At 45.8% G+C, this 22,343-nt stretch overlaps 2 protein-coding genes across 6 annotated transcripts in view; both read left to right on the forward strand.

Annotated features, from left to right (window-relative positions):
* IFNAR2-IL10RB (IFNAR2-IL10RB readthrough) overlaps nt 1-22,343 on the forward strand; it is a 67,284-nt gene that overhangs the window by 39,558 nt on the left and 5,383 nt on the right. Inside the window, exons 9-12 of the mRNA NM_001414505.1 lie at nt 7,101-7,258; nt 10,257-10,423; nt 13,599-13,746; nt 18,609-18,766. Of these exons, the coding sequence (NP_001401434.1) occupies nt 7,101-7,258; nt 10,257-10,423; nt 13,599-13,746; nt 18,609-18,766 (631 nt within the window). The remainder of the gene's footprint in view (nt 1-7,100; nt 7,259-10,256; nt 10,424-13,598; nt 13,747-18,608; nt 18,767-22,343) is intronic.
* Nucleotides 1-22,343, forward strand: part of IL10RB (interleukin 10 receptor subunit beta) — a 43,816-nt gene that overhangs the window by 3,129 nt on the left and 18,344 nt on the right. For 3 of the 5 annotated variants that reach the window (NM_001405849.1, NM_001405850.1, NM_000628.5), the window contains exons 3-6: nt 7,101-7,258; nt 10,257-10,423; nt 13,599-13,746; nt 18,609-18,766. In NM_001405849.1, the coding sequence (NP_001392778.1) occupies nt 7,101-7,258; nt 10,257-10,423; nt 13,599-13,746; nt 18,609-18,766 (631 nt within the window). The remainder of the gene's footprint in view (nt 1-7,100; nt 7,259-10,256; nt 10,424-13,598; nt 13,747-18,608; nt 18,767-22,343) is intronic. The other 2 variants (NR_175973.1, NM_001406840.1) reach the window with 2 other exon arrangements.

Raw genomic sequence — 22,343 nt, forward strand, 5'->3', positions numbered from 1 at the left:
AAGAAGTAGAAAGGTGAATAAGATAGTCCTCGTCTGTGCATTGCTGGCTTTTGTTTTTTAACTTTTAGTTCAAAATAATTCCAGACTAACAGAACATTTCAAAATTTTAAGTAGAATACAAAGAATTTCCAAATAGCCTACAATCAGATTCACCAATTTTTTTTTTTTTTTTTTTTTTTATGAGACGGAGTCTCGCTCTGTCACCCAGGCTGGAGTGCAGTGGCGCGATCTCGGCTCACTGCAACCTCTGCCTCTCGGGTTCACGCCATTCTCCTGCCTCAGCCTCCCGAGTAGATGGGAGTACAGGCTCCCACCACCATGCCCAGCTAATTTTTTGTATTTTTAGTAGAGACGGGGTTTCACCGTGTTAGCCAGGATGGTCACTATCTCCTGACCTCATGATCCACCCACCTCGGCTTCCCGAAGTGCTGGGATTACAGGCGTGAGCCACCACGCCCGGCCCAGGTTCACCAATTTTTAATGTTGGTCACATTCTCTCCCTTCCTCTCTCTCTCTCATGCCCTTTGTGCTGTAATATTTCACTGTGTATTTCACAAGAACAAGGATAATCTCTTACATCACATAGTACAGTGAGAAGCTCAGGAACTTTTACATTCATAAAATACTTGTATCTAATTTACAGTCCATAGTCCAGTACTGTCAGCTGTCCCAAGGATTGAAGGAGGGCATACTCTATAATTAATTTTTTTCCTGATGTGCATTTTCTAGTACTGATTGGCTTTATCATTTGCTTTCTGTGCTGTCTCTACTCAGTCTGAATAGCCACGGAGATTTTACTGTGGAAAATTAAATTTCTTCTCTGTCTGTCTGTCTCCCTGTAGTTTTTCTTGTTCTGTGCTGTGCTTTTGGGTTTGTTTGTTTGTTTTTCTTTTTTTTTTTTTTGAGACGGAGTCTCGCTCTGTTGCCCAGGCTGGAGTGCAGTAGCGCGATCTCATCTCACTGCAACCTCCGCCTCCCGGGTTCACGCCATTCTCCTGCCTCAGCCTCCCGAGTAGCTGGGACTACAGGCGCCCGCCACCACGCCCGGCTAATTTTTTTTAGTAGAGACACTGTTTCACCGTGTTACCCAGGATGGTCTTGATCTCCTGACCTCGTGATCCACCCGCCTTGGCTTCCCAAAGTGCTGGGATTACAGGCGTGAGCCACCGCGCCCAGCCTTTTTTTTTTTTTTTCTTTGAGACAGGGTCTCACTCTGTCACCAAGGCTGGAGTGCAGTGGTACGACCTCTGCTCACTGCAGCCTCCACCTCCTGGGTTCAAGCGATTCTCCTGCCTCAGCCTCCTGAGTAGCTGGGACTACAAGCACATGCCACCGTGCCCAACTGATTTTTGTACTTCTAGCAGAGATGGGGTTTCACCATGTTGGCCGAGCTGGTCTTGAACTCCTGGCCTCAAGTGATCCACCTGCCTCAGTCTCCCAAAGAGCTGGGATTACAGGCGTGAGCTACCACACCCAGCCCATGCCATGCCTTTTTGCCATTATAGTCGAGGCACTTGGCTTTGCATGTTTATCTTTTATGTTAGCGATCCCAATGACTTCATGAAGTGACTTCATGAGGGTATCCACACCTGGGTTCCAGGTCTCCCCCGCGTGGAACTACAGAGTGAGTATGGCATGTGCTGGAGAAAACAAAATATGTGCTGGCCGTGTCCTTGGGGAAGATATTTGATCCCTAAAGATGTGATTGCCTCATGTGGCTCTACAAAAGAGTTGTTTAGAGTTTAGCATGAGCAATTGCACAGCACAAACTCTCTGTTGTTTGCGTGCATTGGGGCAGGGCGTCCAGAGCCGGGGGCACTTCAGAGGATGTACTGGTGATTTTAATATAAAAACATCCAAAACAATTAGATGTAAATATGAGGAATGGGTCATATTACCTATTTAATGCGGGGAGAAGTATTTGTACATGCAATAAAAATAACCTAGTGAAGGCCAGGCGCGGTGGCTCATGCCCGTAATCCCAGCACTTTGGGAGGCCGAGGTGGGTGGATCACCTGAGATCAGGAGTTCGAGACCAGCCTTACCAACATGGCAAAACCCCATCTTTACTAAAAATACAAAATTAGCCGGGTATGGTGGTGCATACCTGTAGTCCCAGCTACTCAGAAGGCTGAGGCAGGAGAATCACTTGAACCCAGGAGGCAGAGATTGCAGCAAGCTGAGATTGCACCATTGCACTCCAGCCTGGGTGACAGAGTGAGACTCCATCTCAAAAAAAAAAAAAACCTAGTGAAAAAGATGTTATTGCAAAACAACTTTTGAAATACTGCACATGCTGGACAATTGATGCATTAGTTTAAAAGAAGGAAATGGGCCAGTAATCCCAGTACTTTGGGGGGCCAAGGTAGGATAATCATTTGAGGCCAGGAGTTCAAGACCAGCCTGGGCAACATAGCAGCCTCTTGTCTCTACAATTTTTTTTTTTAATTAGCTGGACTTGAGTTGGAAAGAAGGAAGGCGGAAGGGAAGAAAGAAGGTAGGGAGGAAAAAAAATATGGCCACATGTGAGAAAACCCCCTTAATGAAATGACCGCTGGATTTTCCAAATGATGGGATGTTAAGCAGCCGTGAAGAAATGGTTGATTGACAAATATTTGTGGTATATTAAGTGAAAAAATAGCATGATCCCAATGATCTCTATCTACTTTTTGCAAGGGATTTTTCTAGGTATCACTAAGAATGCTGTGAGATGTGATGTGCTACCTTAGACTATGAAGTCAAACAGATCTGAGTTCAGTTGGGCAGATTTCTTAGGCTCTCCACGCCTGACCCCTGTGTACTTAATAAATGTTGGCTGTTGTTATTTTTATCACCATCACTTTCATCATCACTTCTGGGAGCAACCAAATTGGTTTTGGCACCAGAAGATGTCTTGGGGGACCAATCAGATAGCTCCTCACTTTTTTATTTTATTTTATAAATTTTTAAATTAAATTAAATTAAATTTTTTGAGACAGTGTCACTCTGTTGCCCAGGCTGGAGTGCAGTGGTGCAATCACGTCTCACTGCAGCCTCCACCTCCCAGGCTCAAGCGAGCTTCCCTCCTTAGCCTACTGAGTAGCTGGGACTACAGGCGCATGCCACCATACCCAAATAATTTTTTTATTTTTTGTAGAGACAAGGACTCACCACGTTGTCCAGGCTGTTCTCAAACTCCTGGGCTCAAGTGATCCTCTGCCTCGGCCTCCCAGAGTGCTGGGATTATAGGCGTGAGCCACTGAGCCGGGCCAGCTCCTCACTTTTTGCAGGATGAGAGCCTGGGCTTCCTTTGATCACGTGGAGCCAATTACACCTCCTTGGCTGTTGCGAGCTTAGATTCAGGAGATTGTATTTCCCTAGCATCCAACAGGCATGTCCAAATGTCATCTCTTTTCTTCCACTTCACTTTCTGTCATGTTCCCTTTAGCGGTTGCTGTCGGGGCTGGTGTTCTGACTGAGACTGATGAATTGTTTTATAATTTTTCCAGAGTAATTGCAATGATAGTCATTTATAGGACAGGACAGTCACGGGTCACTTAACAACTGGGGTAGATTCTGAGAAATGCATCATTAGACAGTTTTGCTGTGTGAACGTCATGCAGTGTACTTGCACAAACCTAGATGGTGTAGCCTCGTATACACCTAGGCTATGTGGTTTAGCCTATTGCCCCAGGCTGTAAACCTGTACAGCATGTTACTGTACTGAGTGCTGTAGGCAATCGTAACACAATGGTATTTGTATACAGGCATATCACAGAGATAAGGCAGTTTTGGTTCCAGACTAACACAATAAAGCTAAAACCACAATAGAGTGAGTCACATGAATTTTTTTGTTTCCCGGTGCATCTAAAAATTATGTTTATACTGTAGTCCATTAAGTGTGTGATAGCGTTATGTCTAAAAAAATGTGCACAGCTTAATTTTAAAATATTTACTTGCGGAAAAATGGTAGCAATCATCAGAGCCTTCAGCAAGTCATAATCCTTTTGCTCGTGGAGCATCTTGCCTTGATATGGATGGCTGCTGACTGATCAGGGTAGTGGTTGCTGAGTTGCAGTGACTGTGACAATTTCTTGAAATAAGATGACAATGAAGTCTGCTGCATCAACTAACTCTTCCTTTCATGACAGATTTCTCTGTAGCATGAGATGCTGTTCGGTAGCATTTTACTCACAGAAGAACTTCTTTCAAAATTGGAATCCTTTCAAACCCTGCTATCAACTAAGTTTATGTAATATTCTAAATCCTTTGTTGTCATTTCAACAATGTTCATAGCATCTTCACCAGGAATAAATTCCATCTCAAGAAACCACTTTCTTTGCTCACTCATTAGAAACAACTCTTCATCTGTTCAACTTTTATCATGAGATTGGAGCAATTCAGTCGCATCTTCGGGTTCCGCTTCTAATTCTAGTTATCTTGCTGTTTTCACCACATCTGCAGTTACTTCCTCCACTGAAGTCTTGAACCCCTTAAAGTCATCTATGAGGGTTGGAATCAGCTTCTTCCAAACCCCTGTTAATGTTATATTTTGACCTCCTCCTATGAATCACCAGTGTTCTTAATGGCATTTTGAATGGTGAATCCTTTCTGGGAGGTTTTCAATTTACCTTGCCCAGATCCATCAGAGAAATCACTATCTATGGCAGCTATAACTTTACAAAATATATTTCTTTATTTTATTTTATTTCATTTTATTTTATTTTTTAAGATGGAGTCTCACTCTGTTGCCCAGGCTGAAGTGCAGTGGTATGATCTCAGATCACTGCTGCCTCCACCTCCCAGGTTCAAGTGATTCTCCTGCCTCAGCTTCCCAAGTAGTGACACCACACCAGGCTAATTTTTGTATTTTTTTTTTAGTAAAGTCAGGGTTTCACCATGTTGGCCAGGCTGGTCTCGAACTCCTGACCTCAAGTGATTTGCCCGCCTTGGCCTCCCAAAGTGCTCAGATTACAGGCATGAGCCACTGTGCCCAGCTTCAAAATATATTTCTTAAATAATAAGATTTGAAAGTCGAAATAACTCCTTGACCCATGGGCTACAGAATGGATGTTGTGTTAGCAGGCATGAAAACAGCATTAATTTCCTTTTAAATCTCCATCAGAGTTCTTGGGGAACCAGGTACATTGTCAATGAGAGGTAATATTTTGAGAGAAAACTTTTTATCCTGAGCAGTAGGTCTTAATACTGGGCTTAAAATATTCAGTAAACCATGCTGTAAACAGATGTGCCGTCCTCCAGGCTTTGTTGCTCCATTTGTAGAGCACAGGCAGAGTAGATTTGGCATAATTCTTAAGAGCTCTCTGATTTTCAAAATGGTAATCCAGTGTTGGCTTCAACTTAAAGTCACCAGCTACATTAGCCCTTAACAAGAGTCAGCCTGTTCTTTGAAGCTTTGAAGCCAGGCATTGACTTCTCCTCTGTAACTATGAAAGTCCTAGATGACATCTTAATAGAAGGTTGTTTCATCTACATTAAAAATCTGTTGTTTAGAGTATCCACCTTCATCATTTTAGCTAGATTTTAGCTAGATCTTCTGGATAACTTGCTGCAGCTTCTACATGGGCACTTGCTGCTTCACCTTGCACTTTTATATTATGGAGATGGCTTCTGTCCTTAAACCTTATGAACCAACCTCTGCTAACTTCCAACTTTTCTTTTTTTTTTTTTTTTTTTTTGAGATGGAGTCTCGCTCTGTTGCCCAAGCTGGAATACAGTGACACAATCTCGGCTTATTGCAACCTCTGCCTCCCGGGTTCAAGTGATTCTCCTGCCTCAACCTCCTGAGTAGCTGAGATTACAGGTGCATGCCACCATGCCCGGCTAATTTTTTTGTATTTTTAGTAGAGGTGGGGTTTCACCATGTTGGTCAGGCTGGTCTTGAACTCCTGACCTGATGATCCGCCCACCTCAGACTCACAAAGTGCTGGGATTACAGGCGTGAGCCACCACACCCAGCCCCAACTTTTCTTCTGCAGTTTCCTCACCTCTTTAAGCCTTCACAGAATTGGAGTGTTAGGGTCTTGCTGTGGATTAGACTTTGGCTTAAGGGAATGGTGTGGCTGGTTTGATCTTCTATCCAGACCACTGAGACTTTCTGCATATTTTCAATAAGGCTGTTTTACTTTCTTATTATTAATGTGTTCACTGGAGTAGCACTTTAAATTTCCTTCAACAACTTTTCCTTTGCATTCACAACTTGGCTAACTGTTTGGCCCAAGGGGCCTGTTGTGGCCTGCAATATGCCTTCCTCACTAAGCTTAATCCTTTGCAGCTTTTGGAATAGGGATGCCCGAGGAGAAGGAGAGAGGCAGGAGAGTGGACAGTGGGTGGAGAAGTCAGAACACTCACAACATCTATTGATTAATTTCACTGTCTTATATAGGTGTGGTTCATGGTACCCCAAAACAATTACAACAGTAACATCAAAGATCACTGATCACAGATCACCATAACACATATAATCATGATGAAAAGTTTTGAAATATTGCGAGAATTACCAAAATGTGACATAAAGACATGAAGTGAGCATGTGCTGTTGGAAAAATGGCACCAATAGACTTGCTCAATGCAGGGTTGCTGCAGACCTTCGATTTGTAAAATGCAATATCTGTGAAGTACAGTAAAGCAAATCACAATAAAATGAGGTATGTCTACATCTAAATGTATTTAAACATAGAAAAGGTACAGTAAAAATACAGTATCATTATCTTAGGGCATCAACGTTGTATATGTGGTCTGTCATCTACCGAAATGTCATTATGCAGCACATGACTTTATTGAAAATCATTGTAATATCTTTATTTTGGTAAATTTTTGTAAATCAATGTCTCATAAATCACATGCCCCTGTTTTCAAAAATACGTAATCAAGGAAGCAAGCTTTCTTGGTCAAGTATGCTGAATACTCAACCCCTTGGAGAGGCACGTAGTCATTAAGATGTTCAAGTCTCTGAGAAGTTCTGTTTTGAAGACACGTATTTCTATGTTTAACACAGTTTCCACTCCCGCGCCGCCCCCCCCTCCAAATTAAGTACCAGTCAGCCTCAGGGAGACTGAAGCCAGAACTCTCCTGATTGACCTATCTTTTTGATTGTGTAGTTATAGGATATTCCAAGATAAATGCATGAATACTACCTTGACGGAATGTGATTTCTCAAGTCTTTCCAAGTATGGTGACCACACCTTGAGAGTCAGGGCTGAATTTGCAGATGAGCATTCAGACTGGGTAAACATCACCTTCTGTCCTGTGGATGACAGTAAGCCATTTTGTTTTCCCTTTTTTTGTAATGTCATCATCTTGCCTTGTTTTTTTCCACATTGGTTGGTCCATCAACAAGAATTCTTTGAGGGCCCACAAATGGATGGCCTTGCACAAGGAGCTTAAGGAATATAATAAAGAGAGTTGTATCCCTAAAGAATTCATGGGAGAGACAGAAAAAGATAGGCATATCATCAATGCAACAATTAAATATAAATCTAACACCTTCAGTGCCTCAAGGATGTGACTATGTTGGGGCCCGTGCTGTTGAGGAGAAGTTCTGGAAGGATTCTTGTGGTGAATTTTCTGGGAGAAAGTCAGTATGGAATTATGACTTAAACAAAGAAACATAACGTGATAGGCAAAAGAATGAAGGCAGATGTAGAGATGGAAAATATGATGCGGACAGCCGGCTTGCCCAGAGCGAAGGACAGAGGGAGGGATAGGGCTGATGGCAGGTGGGTTGGGTCAGACTGGTTGGTCAGCATCAAAAATTGTTCCCAGGTTAGGTGGAGATTGCAGTGAGCCGAGATCACGCCACTGCACTCCAGCCTGGGCAATAGAGTGAGACTTGGTCTCAAAAAAAAAAAAAATATTGTTCCCAGGTTAGATTTGGAGGGTCATGGTGACCACCAGAGTCCCCTAAATATGAGATGAGCATATTTAGAATATCAGGAATTGAAAACTAATTAAACCATATATTAGCAATTGAGAGAGTAAAGAAGATTAGAGGTTAAAAGAACCTAATTCACAAAATTCACATACAGCCCTTCAAAACTCACATAGAGAAAAGCACTAAAAGAATTGTCTCTGGCTAGGCATGGTGGCTCACGTCTATGATCCCAACACTTTGGGAGGCTGAGGTGGTGGATCACTTGAGCCCAGGAATTTTCTTTTTTTCTTTCTTTCTTTCTTTTTTTTTTTTTTTTTTTTTGAGACAAAGTCTCACTCTGACACCCAGGCTGAAGTGCAGTGGCGCGATCTCAGATCACTGCAAACTGCCTCCAGGGTTCAAATGATTCTCGTGCCTCAGCCTCCTGAGTAGCTGGGACTTCAAGTGCCTGTCACTATGCCCAGCTAAATTTTTTTGTATTTTTAGTAGAGACGGGGTCTCACCATGTTGGCCAGGCTGGTCTTGAACTCCTGACCTTAAGTGATCCACCTGCCTCAGCCTCCCAAAGTGCTGGGATTACAGACATGAACCACCACACTTGTCCTTGAGCCCAGGAATTTAAGACCAGCCTGGGCAACATGGTGAAACCCTGTCTCTACAAAAAACAAAAAAAATACCAAAAAAAAAAAAAAAAAAAAATTAGCCAGGCATGGTGGAGTGTGCTTGTAGTCCCAGCTACTTGGGAGGCTGAGGTGGGAGAGTCATCTGAGCCTGGGAAGTCAAGGCTGCAGTGAGCCATTATCACACCACTGCACTCCAGCAGCCTGGGTGACCAGAGTGAAGTCTTATCTCAAAAAAAGAAGTGTCTCTATATGGGGAGTGGTCTTTATGCCGGTCCCTGCTCTGGACCCCCATGACCCCTACAGTTACATCCTCCCTGGTAGAGAATGATGCTAGGATGCCTTTCTTCCCTTTCCCAATTCCATCCCAAGCCTGGGTAAAAACGTCTTACTTTTGGAATCATAAATTATCAAAGTTAGATTATATTTTCTAATGGTACCTTTACAAAAACAAAGGAAAGATGAACAGAAAAGTAAGTTTCACAATAGTTAAAAGTACAAGTTTTTGCTCCTATAATTGCTAACTGGCTTACCAGGTCCTAACTTGTCCCAAATCCTGTTAGCTCCCATCCATGGAAGTTCCCTTTAGAGCCTAGGTACAACACGGTTAAGCAGCTTGTCAAAAAGTCATACAGGTCATGAGTGGCTGAGCAAGGATTCAGACCCAGGCTCTTGCTTCTGTGCTCTTAGCAACTACTACCCAATATTGGAGATTTGCCTCTTGAAGTCTATGTATTTTAGTGATAGGAAAGTGTTTCCAGGCATCATGCATAACCTATTTATACTTGCTTTGGCAAAGTATTCCAACAAGTTTTCTTGTCTGGTTTTCAGACGAGCACTTTAGAATGATGGAAGCAGGTCCATTAACAGCCCTGAAAAAGTAACAGCAGCCAAAGAAGAATACAGGACATAACTCAAACACCATGATTGCCTGGAACCATTTATGAATCATTCTATAGTTATTATTGAGTACATCTGTGTAACAGCTGCATTCTGAGCACTGAAGCTACAACAATGAACGAGACAAAATACCTCATGGAGCATATATGTGCTAATCAGGAATACAGATAATAAATAAATAGATACATATTACATGACAGGTAGTGACTATGGTTCTTAAGAAGACTGAAGCAAGGCAATAGGACAGAAAGTAATGGGAGCTGCACTTCTACATAGAATGGTAAGATACAGTCTCTCTGAGGAAGTAGCATTTGAGCAGAGACCCATATGAAGTGAAGGAGCCAGCCACATGAATATCTAGTAAAAGAGCATTCAGAAGGGAAACAGCTTTAGACATTGTTGGAAATATATATGGTTAATTATATATGTTAAACATGTAAAGGTGGCCACTAAAAATAATAGAGATGCCATCTGTAGCTTCCATCCTGAAAAAGGAAATAAAATTCAAGCCAACAAAAAGCAGGAATAAAAGAGGAGAAGACACCAAAAACATAAAATAGAAATTTAAAAAGAAATCCTTATAGAAAATACAAAATAGCGTAGCTGGAATAATTCCAAATGTATCAGAAACCACAATAAACATAAGTGGACTAAACTTCATTAAGAAAGACAAAGATTATCAGATTTTTTAAAAGAAACTAAATCCAACTACCCTTCTTAGCCATGTCAATCAATGTCATGACAATAGTATATCAAAGCAGTGTACTTCCGTGGACTAATTGTTCTGCATGGTTATGAAAAATTAATGTTGAAGTTTTTAAAATGTGATTTTTGATTGTCATTTTGCTTGTTCTTCTGCTTAGCCATTATTGGACCCCCTGGAATGCAAGTAGAAGTACTTGCTGATTCTTTACATATGCGTTTCTTAGCCCCTAAAATTGAGAATGAATACGAAACTTGGACTATGAAGAATGTGTATAACTCATGGACTTATAATGTGCAATACTGGAAAAACGGTACTGATGAAAAGGTAAGGTTGGCTAATTGCATTTCAGAGGTAGTAGGCTTTCATATTCTTTGCAGAATCTTGCAAGGTGGCAGCACCTTATGGACTGGTCCTCTGTAAGCCAAGAGCTTCCCAGACTGAGGGGTTACTGGTATCTCTGGCTCAAGCTTCCCAGACTCCTAAGGGATATGTGTAGAGCAGACTTTCAGGACAAAGTCTGCACAGTGACAGCAGACCTTTCCCTCCCTGAAGGGCAGCTGCAGGGGAAGGCACAGTTGAGTCAGAGTTAGCTAAGGGAACTTGGAGCTGGCTGAATTAGGTGATCAGCAAATTGACAACTGTCCCATGACATCAACCCCTGTGTCCCACACACACCGCAAATCAGGGACGTCCGTGGTCAAGACAGCCCCTTGTTGCTCTATTCTTCAGGGGACAATTTCTTTAAAAACATGGGCTTGGAGTCAAAAGATCTGATCGGAATATCACCCGTGCCACCATGTGCCATTGGTCACTTTCTTGACCCCAGCCTCCTCAAGTCTGCAAAATGGGCATAATAACTTACTTTATTAATAAAACAAGGATAATAACCTACTTCGTAAGATTGTTGGGGAATTTAATGAAATAATAGAAAATATAAACTCATCCCATTGCCTGGAATGATGTATATATGGTCAGTACATCAGTACATGAGGTTTCCTTCCTCTTTGCTAGACATGTTAAGGTTATTTTTATTCATCCTTGGTCAAGGTTTATTCTGACACCTAATGCTTCTGAGCTGAATGCCATTCATGGTCCTAAACTGACATATATATGTTATGTATGTCATATTACATATATGTTATCCCTTCCACATTAAATGTTGATTTTACCACTTAATTCTCAAAGTGTTTGGGAAGAAGGGATCACCCATGTTTATTATCTTAGGAATGATGTAGTTAAATTTATATACACACACTGCATAGCCCAAAAAATCTCAAGTTAATTTTTTTCCCCAAAAAATGTTCCATTAAATGATGCAGTGTCTTAGTCCTTTCCTGCTGCCACAACAAAATACCACAGACTAGGTAACTTATAAACACTAGAAATTTATTTCTCACAGTTCTGCAGGCTGGGAAGTCCAAGATCAAGGCACCAGCAGATTCAGTGTCTGGTGAGCACTGGCGTGCTCTGCCTCCTAGATGGTGGAAGGCAAAGGGCAAGGATGTAAACAGCTCCCTTGCTGCTCTTTTCTAAGGTCACCAATGGCATTCAGGAAGGCTCTGCCCTCATTATTTAATCACTTCTGAAAACCTCCACCTCTGAGTCCTATCATAGTGACAGTTAAGTTTCAGCATATGAATTCTGATACTCACAATCACTGATCAAATGCAGGCATCTCTGCTAAGCCCTGGGGTATAAAGATAAGAGCAGATTGCTCCCCTCCGGGAGCTAGCAACAGACCTCAATTAAGGATCTAGTTTTACAGTGAGCAGGGTCAGGTGCCTCCTGAGGCAAGTGTGAATGCAAACTCCACTTACTGTTTAGCTTCTTTTCTCACACATGCCCACAACATGGGCATCTGGTTACACATTTGTCCTCTCTCTTCGGCCAGTTGTGTGGCAACCTTCTGTGTGACTTACCGAGTGTGGAAAGGCTGCCTGCTGCACTGCTCCTCTCACAGGTGCCTGTGATGCCACCAATACAGGTTTTTTGGGGGTTTTTTTGAGGCAGAGTCACAGTCTGTCGTTGCCCAGGCTGGAAAGCAGCGGTGCGATCTCAGCTTACTGCAACCTCCGCCTCCTGGGTTCAAGCAATTCTCCTGCCTCAGCCTCCCAAGTAGCTGTGATTACAGGCATCTGCCACCACACCCCGCTAATTTTTCTATCAATACAGGCTTATATGGTTCCCCTCTAGAATGTAGAGATTCCTGAGGCGGTGCCAGACTAGGTCCCTAAACTCACAGCATGAAGGGCTTTTGAGAATTCTTTCTTCCTGTTGGGAGAAAGTGAGAAGATAAAACCAGAAGTTGCCCAGACGTGAAAGGGCAGAAAAAGCCCCAGCAGGGATTGAGAAGGTCCCTCTACTACTATGCCACCACCTTACCTGCTTGCCTCTGAGTTTAATCTTTGAAAAAATTTGCATTGTAAGGTTTTAGAGGCACTGGACTTCTGGAACTGCAAGCCCGCCATTTTTTTCAGTTGTTGCTTTGATTTGCTTTTGGTCTTTTAATTTACTTATTAGAAGTTAAACCATTTTCTTCATATATTCCATAAGTCTAATCCAATTATTGACCTCCATGGGCTTAGCTCCTCATGCAGTAGAGGCATATAGGCATGCTGTCAACGACCCCAACCCCAAAAAAGAACTAACCAATTGCGACTGGGTGTGGTGGCTCACACCTGTAATCCCAGCACTTTGAGAGGCCAAGGTGGGCAGATCACCTGAGGTCAGGAGTTCAAGACAAGCCTGGCCAACATGGCAAAACCCCGTCTCTACAAAAATACAAAAAAAAATTAGCTGAGTGTGGTAGTGTGCACCTGTATTCTCAGCTACTCGGGAGGCTGAGGCAGGAGAATTGCTTGAGCCTGGCAACGGAGGTTGCAGTGAGCCATGATCGTGCCACTGCACTCCAGCCTGGACGACAAGAGTGAAACTCCATCTCAAAAAAAATAATAATTAAAAGACCAGTTTATTTTATTTATTTATTTACTTTTTTCTTTATTTCTGAGACAAAGTCTCGCTCTGTCACCGAGGCTGGAGTGCAGTGTGGGGTGATCCTGGCTCACTGCAACTTCCACCTCCCAAGTTCAAGCGATTCTCGTGCGCCACCACGCCCGGCTAATTTTTTGTATATTTAGTAGAGATGGGGTTTTGCCATGTTGACTAGGCTGGTCTCAAACTCCTCAGTCCCCCAAAGTGCTGTGATTACAGGCACGAGCCAACACACCCGGCCTGCTTTATCTTTTTTAAAAAAGAAGTGATGGCTTGTGTGTCATTTAAGCTGGAGAATTCAGGAACCAAAATGGTTTGTGGGCACCACTGTCAGTCCTTGATGCACCCCCTGAGTGGCCTCAGGGTCCCTGAACTGAGAGGAGCACCTGCTACCTGCTCCTTCCTATTTTAAGTCTAAAACGGCTATTATCACTGATAAATGTGAAAAAAAAAAAGGTGGTGCCCTTCCACTGCTTAGTCATGTTCTTATTTTTGTCTCCATTACTAGTTTCAAATTACTCCCCAGTATGACTTTGAGGTCCTCAGAAACCTGGAGCCATGGACAACTTATTGTGTTCAAGTTCGAGGGTTTCTTCCTGATCGGAACAAAGCTGGGGAATGGAGTGAGCCTGTCTGTGAGCAAACAACCCATGACGGTAAGCCCTGAGATGCACCTCCGCTAAGCATCCTAAACAGCTTTATAGACACCTGCCCTAGACATGATTGCATCCAACTCAAATTCCAGCTCAGTTCAGAAATCTATCGCCCTGACATTATCTCTCAGCCCTGACTGCTCAGCTTCATGCTAGGAAGGAGACCACACCCGCTTCTGAGGCAGCTCATTCACTCTTAGATCAAAGGAGTTGCTAGAAACCTTTTCTGTCTGGTGGAGCGAGGTCTGCCTCCATGAGCCCCCCTTGGCAGTACTTATTCTACCATCCCAGGCTCCCTAAAGCAAGGCTCATCAGTCCTCCCAAGACCACCAGCAGAGCTCAAGCCCTGTCACATACCCCAAAGGTCTTTCCTCCCCAGGCGGCACATCTCCAGCCACTGCCGACATGTGATGGGAAGCAAGTGTCAGGAAATCTGACCACGGTCCTCAGCCAGTGCTGCCTGATTCAGGGCCCCTTATATGCAGGAATCCAGGATGTCAACACAGTCCTTCACACACCATATGGATCACTTCTAGCTTGGAGGAAGGAACGGGAGAAGGAAAGAGAGAAGGTTCCCATGGGCCTAAACACTGCATATTTATGTGCAGACACATTGCAGTTGCATGTTGGTGAAAACTGAGGCCCAGGTGTCTGCATACAAACAGCAGGCCTTCCTATAATTTAAAGATGTTGGTGAAGGGTTCAGCAAGCTCAGACAATGGAAGGATGAAACATGGCATGCGGCATGCAGTTTGATCAAAAAGAAAAACATGTCTGCCGGACGTGGTGGCTCACGCCTGTAATCCTAACACTTTGAGAGGCCGAGGCGGGCGGATCACCTGAGGTCAGGAGTTTGAGACCAGCCTGGCCAAAATGGCAAAACCCTGTCTCTACCAAAAATGCAAAATTTAGCCAGGTGTGGTGGCGCACACCTGTAATCCCAGCTACTTGGGAGGCTGAGGTGGGAGAATCGTTTGAACCCAGGAGGCAGAGGCTGCAGTGAGCTGAGGTCATGCCACTGCACTCCAGCCTAAGCAATAAGAGTGAGACCCTGCCTCAAAAAAAAAAAAAAAAGAAAAGAAAACATTTCAAATAGCTTGCAAATACCAGTAATCACCCATGAACTGACAAAATCCAAACATTTTACAAAACAAAAGGGTATGAGCCATTGAAAACCTGCTTTCATCAAACACCATTTTCATTTTTTCTTAAAACACACCTATCCCATTTAAATCCCACAAGTTTTCAATGAGAGCATTAGAAGGATCTTCTCCCATTTTACAAACTAGAACATGAAGGTTCAGAGAGTGATGCACTTTGGATGTTGCCCTCATCCAGATCTCACGCTGAAATGTAATCCCCAGTGCTGGAGGTGGCGCCTGGTGGGAGGTGACGGGATCATGGGGGCCCATTTCTCATGAATGGCTTATCACCATCCCCTTGGTGCTGTCCTCCCGAGAGTGAGTGACTTCCTGAGAGACCTGGCGGTTTAAAAGTATGTGGCATCTTGCTCTCTCTTGCCCCCACTTAGCTTTCCACCATGATTGGGAGCTTCTAGAGGCTTCCCCAGAAACAGATACCGCTATGCTTCCTGTACAGCCTGCAGATTCATGAGCTAATTCATCCTCTTTTCTTTATAAATTACCCAGTTTTAGTTATTTGTTTATTTGTTTTTTGGATGGAGTCTCACTCTGTTGCCTAGGCTGGAGTGCAGTGGCTCGATCTTGGCACAACCTCCGCCTCCTGGGTTCAAGCAATTCTACTGCCTCAGCCTCCTGAATAGCTGGGATTACAGTGCCCACCACCACACCCAGCTAATTTTTTTATTTTTAGTAGAGAGTGGGGTTTCGCCATATTGGCCAGGCTGGTCTCGAACTCCTGACCTCAAGTGATCCACCCACCTCAGCCTCCCAAAGTGCTGGGGTTACAGGTATGAGCCACCATGCCCAGCCATCCAGTTTTAGTTATTTCTTTATAGCAGTGCAAAAACAGCCTAAAACAGAGAGGTTAAGTAACTTGCCCAAATGCTAGTAAATGAAAAGGATCAACCAGAACACAGGCTCATTCATCTAAGCCCAGGTTATGTTTCCTGTAACTTACTACCTATAGATTAATTCCATAGGTAAACTGAGGCACCGTGTCCTTGTGGATAAAACAGGAAAGAGTAGTCTGCCTCATGGTGTGGTCAGATGAATCTGAAACAAGTTAGAGAACTTTACACGGAGGATGTAGATTAGTAGATTCTCCCACAGTTCACAACCTATGCAGAGCAGGGTCCTCTCTCCTGCCCCCTGTGGAACTCTCCATCTGGGGTGAGTAACAAAAGCATTCCTTGAATCATGTCACCATCACCCAGATGTGTCCTTGTTTAAGATGCTAAGATGCCCCAGTTTGAGACACCAGGAGACCCAAGCACTGCCCCAGAGGTTCATTACCCAAAATAAAATAACAGGGCGGGGCCCATGGATCCCTGTTTGAATGAGTCTCCGGGCGCCAAATTAGAGAACTACCGAAATATTAATGGAAGGATGGATGGATGAGTAGGAGCCTGGAACTTTCTCAAGACCTGGGATGTCAAATCCCAAGGAGACCTCACGTGTCCAGCTGTGGTGTGGACTGGGGGCCGCTCCAGCCAGCTCACTGCCGTATGACCCTGGAATCACCAAGAGCAGACTCACATGTTTGAGCTGAACATGCTGGAAGTGTGGGCCAGACGGCACCGCTTCTGGGCTCCGGTGCATGAAACAAACAAGAACCAAGAACTGGGATAAGGAGTGCTGAAACCCGCAAGGACAGGAGCTGGGGAGATGGGAGGCCGCCTGCGGGAATGAAAGCACAAGAGAACGAGGGCCATGGGGTTGGGGGCGGCACAAGTGCTCAGGTCCTTCCAGCCGCTTCCCTCATACAGATGCCACTTCCATCCCTCAGACGTTTAAGGAGTGTGCACTGTGAGCCACGCACTGTGACAAGCACCATGTCGTGCCAGCAGGTGACTGCACTTGCTGTAGCTCCAGGGTCATGTGCTGTGTCAGGGCTCTTTGATCCCTGTGTCCCTTTAAAACGACATGATCTTCATGGGCAGTGTTTGTTCTCTTGGCCCCTCTCAGAGCCAAATGCTGTGCTCGTGAGGGCGGTGCTGGTTGGCAGGGGATGGGCACAGAGAAATCAGGTGGCCAGGGCAGCTGGAGGAGGGACCTGGAGCCGAACAAGGGGAGCTGGGACCACGAGCAACCCAGGTGACATCCTGGACTCTGTCAAAGATAAGCAAAGCAGGACGCTAATTAAAGCAGTCAAAACATTTTATTCAGTAATGACTGGAGTTGGGAAAAGGGCCGAGTTCCATTTACTCAGAGGTGTTTTAAAGGGAGAACGAGGGCCGGGGCAGGAGGATCGCTTGAACCCAGGAGTTCGAGACCAGCCTGGCCAAAATAGTGGGACCCCCATCTCTATAAAATATTTTAAAAATTAGCTGGGCATGGTGACACATGCCTGTCGTCCCAGCTACCCAGGAGGCTGAGGTGGGAGGATCACTTGAGTCCTGGAAGTCAAGGCTGCAGTGAGCTGTGTTTGCACTACTGTACTCCAGCCTGGACAACAGAACAAGACTCTATCTCAAAAATGAAAATAAATAAAAGGAGAATGAGGGAGTAGAAAGAAAGAATGCGTGGGGAGTTGAGCAGAATCAGGGAAGTGAAAAAAATTTTAAATCAGCTAAGGGGATGGGTCAGTGCCGTGAGGCCCTCTGTGTCTGTGAACCGGTGTTTATCAAGGCTAGGCTTCTACCCTCCCACAGAGACAGGGAGACAGAGGCCCTGTACTTCCTGATGATTTCAAAAGAATGGCTCGCAGATCATTGAGAAAAATATCCCTGCGTTGTGGGAGATACATACATGTCTCAAAGGGACAGAGGAAGGATTCACCACTATAAGCCCTTTTTAATAAATGCTCTCCGAAAGAGAGGTCAAGGCCTCGCATCAGGGGCTGGGAAGAACAAATGGTAAGTTCCTTAGGCAGCCTTGGGTTTTTCCAGACAGGAATTCAAGGGTGTGGCCTTGGCCTGCTAGAAGCTATGCTGGGGTTTGGCCAAGTCTCTTAGTGCAGGGGTTTGTTTGTTTTGGCTTTGGTTTTGGTTTTTGAGGCGGGGTTTCACTCTGTCGCCCAGTTTGGAGTGCAGTGGTACAATCATAGCTCACTATCACAGCCTCGACCTCCCAGGCTCAAGCGACCCTCCCACCTCAGCCTTTCAAATTGCTGGGACTACAGGTGTCTGCCATCATACCCAGCTAATTTTTAAAAAATTTTTTTTGTTGTAGAGAAGGGGTCTCACTATGTTGCCCAGACTGGTCTCAAACTCCTGGGCTCAAGTGATCCTCCCACCTCGGCCTCCCAAAGTGCTGGGGTTACAGGTGTGAGCCACCACACCTGGCTTAGTGCAGGGGTTTGGATAGAGTTGTTCACGCAGAGTTTCTGTTTTTCTCAATATAGAACGAGATGGTGCCTGTGTTTAACTCAGGCTCAGGTGTCCAGGGGAGTATCACTTGCTGTGTCAAGGCAGAAGTGGTATATCCAGACCTGGGAGGCCCATTGCTACACTGCCAGTAGTAGGTACAGTGGATCAGAATTCTTGCTTGTTATTCTTTTGATGTATGTCAGCAATAATTCCAGAAACCAAACTTTGGAGAAGATAGGAAAAGGGTGAAACTCTTCAAAAACCTCTGGGTCCTCCAACCAGTTGCTGTTTCTGAGACGTCCCCCAAGATAAACGTACAGGCTCTGTTTTCAGGGATTGTGATGGTTAAAATGCTCTTGGGATCACTGTGACCCGACCTGTGACAAGAATGTAACATGCCCATTACCCCTGGCAGAAACGGTCCCCTCCTGGATGGTGGCCGTCATCCTCATGGCCTCGGTCTTCATGGTCTGCCTGGCACTCCTCGGCTGCTTCGCCTTGCTGTGGTGCGTTTACAAGAAGACAAAGTACGCCTTCTCCCCTAGGAATTCTCTTCCACAGCACCTGAAAGAGGTAGGTAGGATGGAGTGAGATGTGGATTTGAAAACCTTGATCGGAAAGAGCTTTCCTTTCTAGTTAGGGCTGCCCAATTCCAGACAACATGTTTTCCAGGAAAACACACACGCGCGCGCGCACACACACACACACACACACACAGACACGCCTCTTGTGTGCTGGTCCATTCTCTTGTAACCATGTCAGGTGAAGGAACAGCCCCGAGGAAAGGGGCGCGGGGTTGTCCAGTATCCCTCTCTGCACCTAGGGCATCGCTCCTTCTCCAGCCTTCACTGCCCAAAGCCCCAGGTCCCTGAGGAGCAAAGGTGATGGTTCTAGGGCAGGAGGGGAAAAACAGAGCTCAGTGTGGAAGAAAGAGAAAACTGGAGGCTAAATGCCAGGAAATCACCAGAGGGAGAGAATGGGAGGAAAGAAAGGAACATTTCCAGTTTTGGAATATACGAGAGCGATTGAAATTCTGGGTAGTGTTTCCTGGACTTTAGGAAGGCTATTTGTAAAAGGGTTAGGAAGAAGAAACAATGCACCTGACTAATGATAACAGGACTGAAGAAGCCCTAAGAAATGAAACTCTGGATAGTCACTGACACTAGAGAATGAAAAGATTCCAAGCCCGGACCCAAAGGAACTATCTTTGGTCTCATTTCCCAGGAAGCAGACTCTAAGATAGAGATTTGTATTCAAAAGGCTTGATGGGGAACATCCTTGGGAATAATACCCTAAAGGAGTGAAGGTAGCCAGATGTGGCAGAGAGAGGTTGAGCTGTCACACAGCCACAACAGAGGCCTCAGCCAATCCCATGTGGCCTCTCGAGCTGGGGTGGCCCTTTAGAGATGTCCTAAGCTGAGGCAAGAGGGATGGGCGTGTGAACTCCACATTGGCCATGCGCTGGATGTGGGCTACTCCCAGGAAGGGGCCCTAAGCTAGGGTGAGAGGTGAGACAGCAGCAGCCAGGAGCTAGGAGCACGAGTGCCTCATTCCTGAAGGCACCACAGCCTCCATTACAGTCACCCCTGGGACCACTTGGATCTACTGGAAGCAGCTCCTCCAGGATCTGAGTTGATCTCGTTTCCTGGGGAGGGTTACAGGAGGAAGATGAGTGGAATGCACTCCAGCCCCCACCGCTGCTGCTGGTGTCGGGACCACAAAGGAATGCTTGTGGGCTGGCTCCTTCCTCCGCTGCCCTGAGGGCCCGCTCTCCTCTCCCGGGAGGAGCCTGTGCTGTAGGGGCTGCTGACCTGATTGGGTGACCCAGCCCTCATCCCAGAAAGCACTGAGCCTCCGGTCCCCAAGCCCATCTCAGGCAATGGCCTGTCCCTGCACTTGTCAATTTGCTGTCAAAATCGGGCAGGGGAGTCCCAGGAGGTGCCCAGTGACTCTGGCGGGTACCCACTGTGATACAGTGGTGACTTCTCTCTTGCCTGCCAGTCTCTTGGCCTGAGGAGGTGGCTTAAAGTTTATCGGGCCTTGTTTCATGTCCCCTGGTAGAAATGCTCCCACTCTGGGAACCTTCTAGACCAGGTGTCAGCAAACTTTTTCTTAAAGGGCCAGGTAAAAAATATTTTAGAAGGCCAGGCACAGTGGCTTATGCCTGTAAGCCTAGCACTTTGGGAGGCTGAAGTGGGTGGATCACCTAAGGTCAGGAGATCGAGACCATCCTGGCTAACATGGTGAAACCCCGTCTCTACTAAAAATACAAAAAATTAGCCAGGCGTGGTGGCGGGCGCCTGTAGTCCCAGCTCCTCGGGAGGCTGAGGCAGGAGAATGGCGTGAACCCGGGAGGCGGAGCTGGCAGTGAGCCAAGATCGCGCCACTGCACTCTAACCTGGGCAACAGAGCGAGACTCCGTCTCAAAAAAAAAAAATACAAAAATACAAAAATTAACCCGGCATGCTGGCGCATGCCTGTAATCCCAGCTACTCGGGAGACTGAGGCAGGAGAATCGCTTGAACTCGGGAGGTGGAAGTTGCAGTGATCCCTCACACCACTGCACTCCACCCTGAGCAACAGAGCGAGACTCCATCTCAAAATTTAAAAAATTTTAAAATTTATATATATATATTTGAGGTTCTGTTGGCAAGAAATAAAAATCAAAATTATGTAGTCACTTATATAACCACTTAAATATAATCATTTAAAAATCCGAAAGCCATGTGAAAAAACAAGTGGTAGGCCGGATCTGCCCCGTGGGCCTTTGTTTGCTGGCCCTGCCCTAGACCCACAGAGCCTCAAATCACAAGGCCAGGGAGCAGCGGTTTCCCCAGTAGGTCACTGGGCATGATGAGGGTGAACAGGGCCACTCCTGCCCTGCGCTTGCTTCCTGACGCAGGTGTTCCACCTGCTGGGGACACAGCCCCACATGATTGTTGGTCTTGGGTGCATGCCAGGGGCTGGAGGACAATGCCTTGCCCTCACCAGGTGTCATCTCCAAGCTGGCGCCTCCCCTGCACTTTCAACAGGCCGCTCCGTCCTTCTTCCAGTCTGGCAGCTGCTGGGTGGTGCAGGGTGGGATACGACCAGGGGGGTCCCGCCTTCACTGTCAGTGGGCCCATTGGTCTGGCACCATGTGATACGGCGTCTCTACTAGTTTGTCGGGGCTGCTGTAGCAAAGTAGCACTCGTTGCGCAGCTGTAACAACGGGAATTGATTCTCTCACGGTTCTCGAGGCCAGACGTCCAAAATCAAGGTGTCACTAGGATGGTTTCCTTGGAGGCTGTGAGGGAGGATCTGTCCCAGGCCTCTACCCTAACTTCTGAGGGTTGCTGGCGATCTTTGGCGTTCCTTGGCTTCTAGAGGCATCACCCAGTCTCTGCCTTGATCTTCACAAGCCTTCTCCCTATGTGAGTGTCTGTGTCCACATTGCCCCTCCTTTATACAGACACCAGTCACGGGAGGAGGGCTCACCCTGCTCCACTATACCCTCATTCTAACTTAACTGATCCCCTCTGCAGCAACCCTATCTCCAAATACAGTCACATTCTGAGGTAGAGGGATTAGGACATATGAATTTCTTTTTTTTTTGGAGACGGAGTCTCACTCTGTCACCCAGGCTGGAGTGGAGTGGCATGATTTCGGCTCAGTGCAAGCTCCGCCTCCTGGGTTCAAGTGATTCTCCTGCCTCAGCCTCCCAAGTAGCTGGGATTACAGGTGCCCTCCACCACGCCCGGCTAATTTTTGTGTTTTTAGTAGAGACAGGGTTTCCCCATGTTGGCCAGGCTGGTCTCAAACTCCTGACCTCAAGTGATCTGCCCGCCCTGGCCTCCCAAAGTGCTGGGATTACAGGCGTGAGCCACAGCGCCTGGCCCAGAACATGAATTTTGTAGGAACAGAATTCAACACCTAACAGGATCCTCTACCAGGAGAGAAAACACCTGTGAAACCTTGGGAATCCTGACAGGCCCTGCAGGACACGAACAGCAAATCACTCCTAAACTAAAGGTTAGCTCCAGCCAGGATGCACCACTGCCCCTTCCAGAGTGGTGCAAGAGTCGACGTCATCAGCTTGCTACCAGGTGGCTGGTCAGTCTCCTCGGGGAATGCCGTCATATCAGGGGCTCAGCATTGATCTCTGTCGCAG

Source organism: Homo sapiens, chromosome 21, assembly GCF_000001405.40.
Source record: "Homo sapiens chromosome 21, GRCh38.p14 Primary Assembly".
In the NCBI taxonomy this organism is placed as follows: Eukaryota; Metazoa; Chordata; class Mammalia; order Primates; family Hominidae; genus Homo; species Homo sapiens.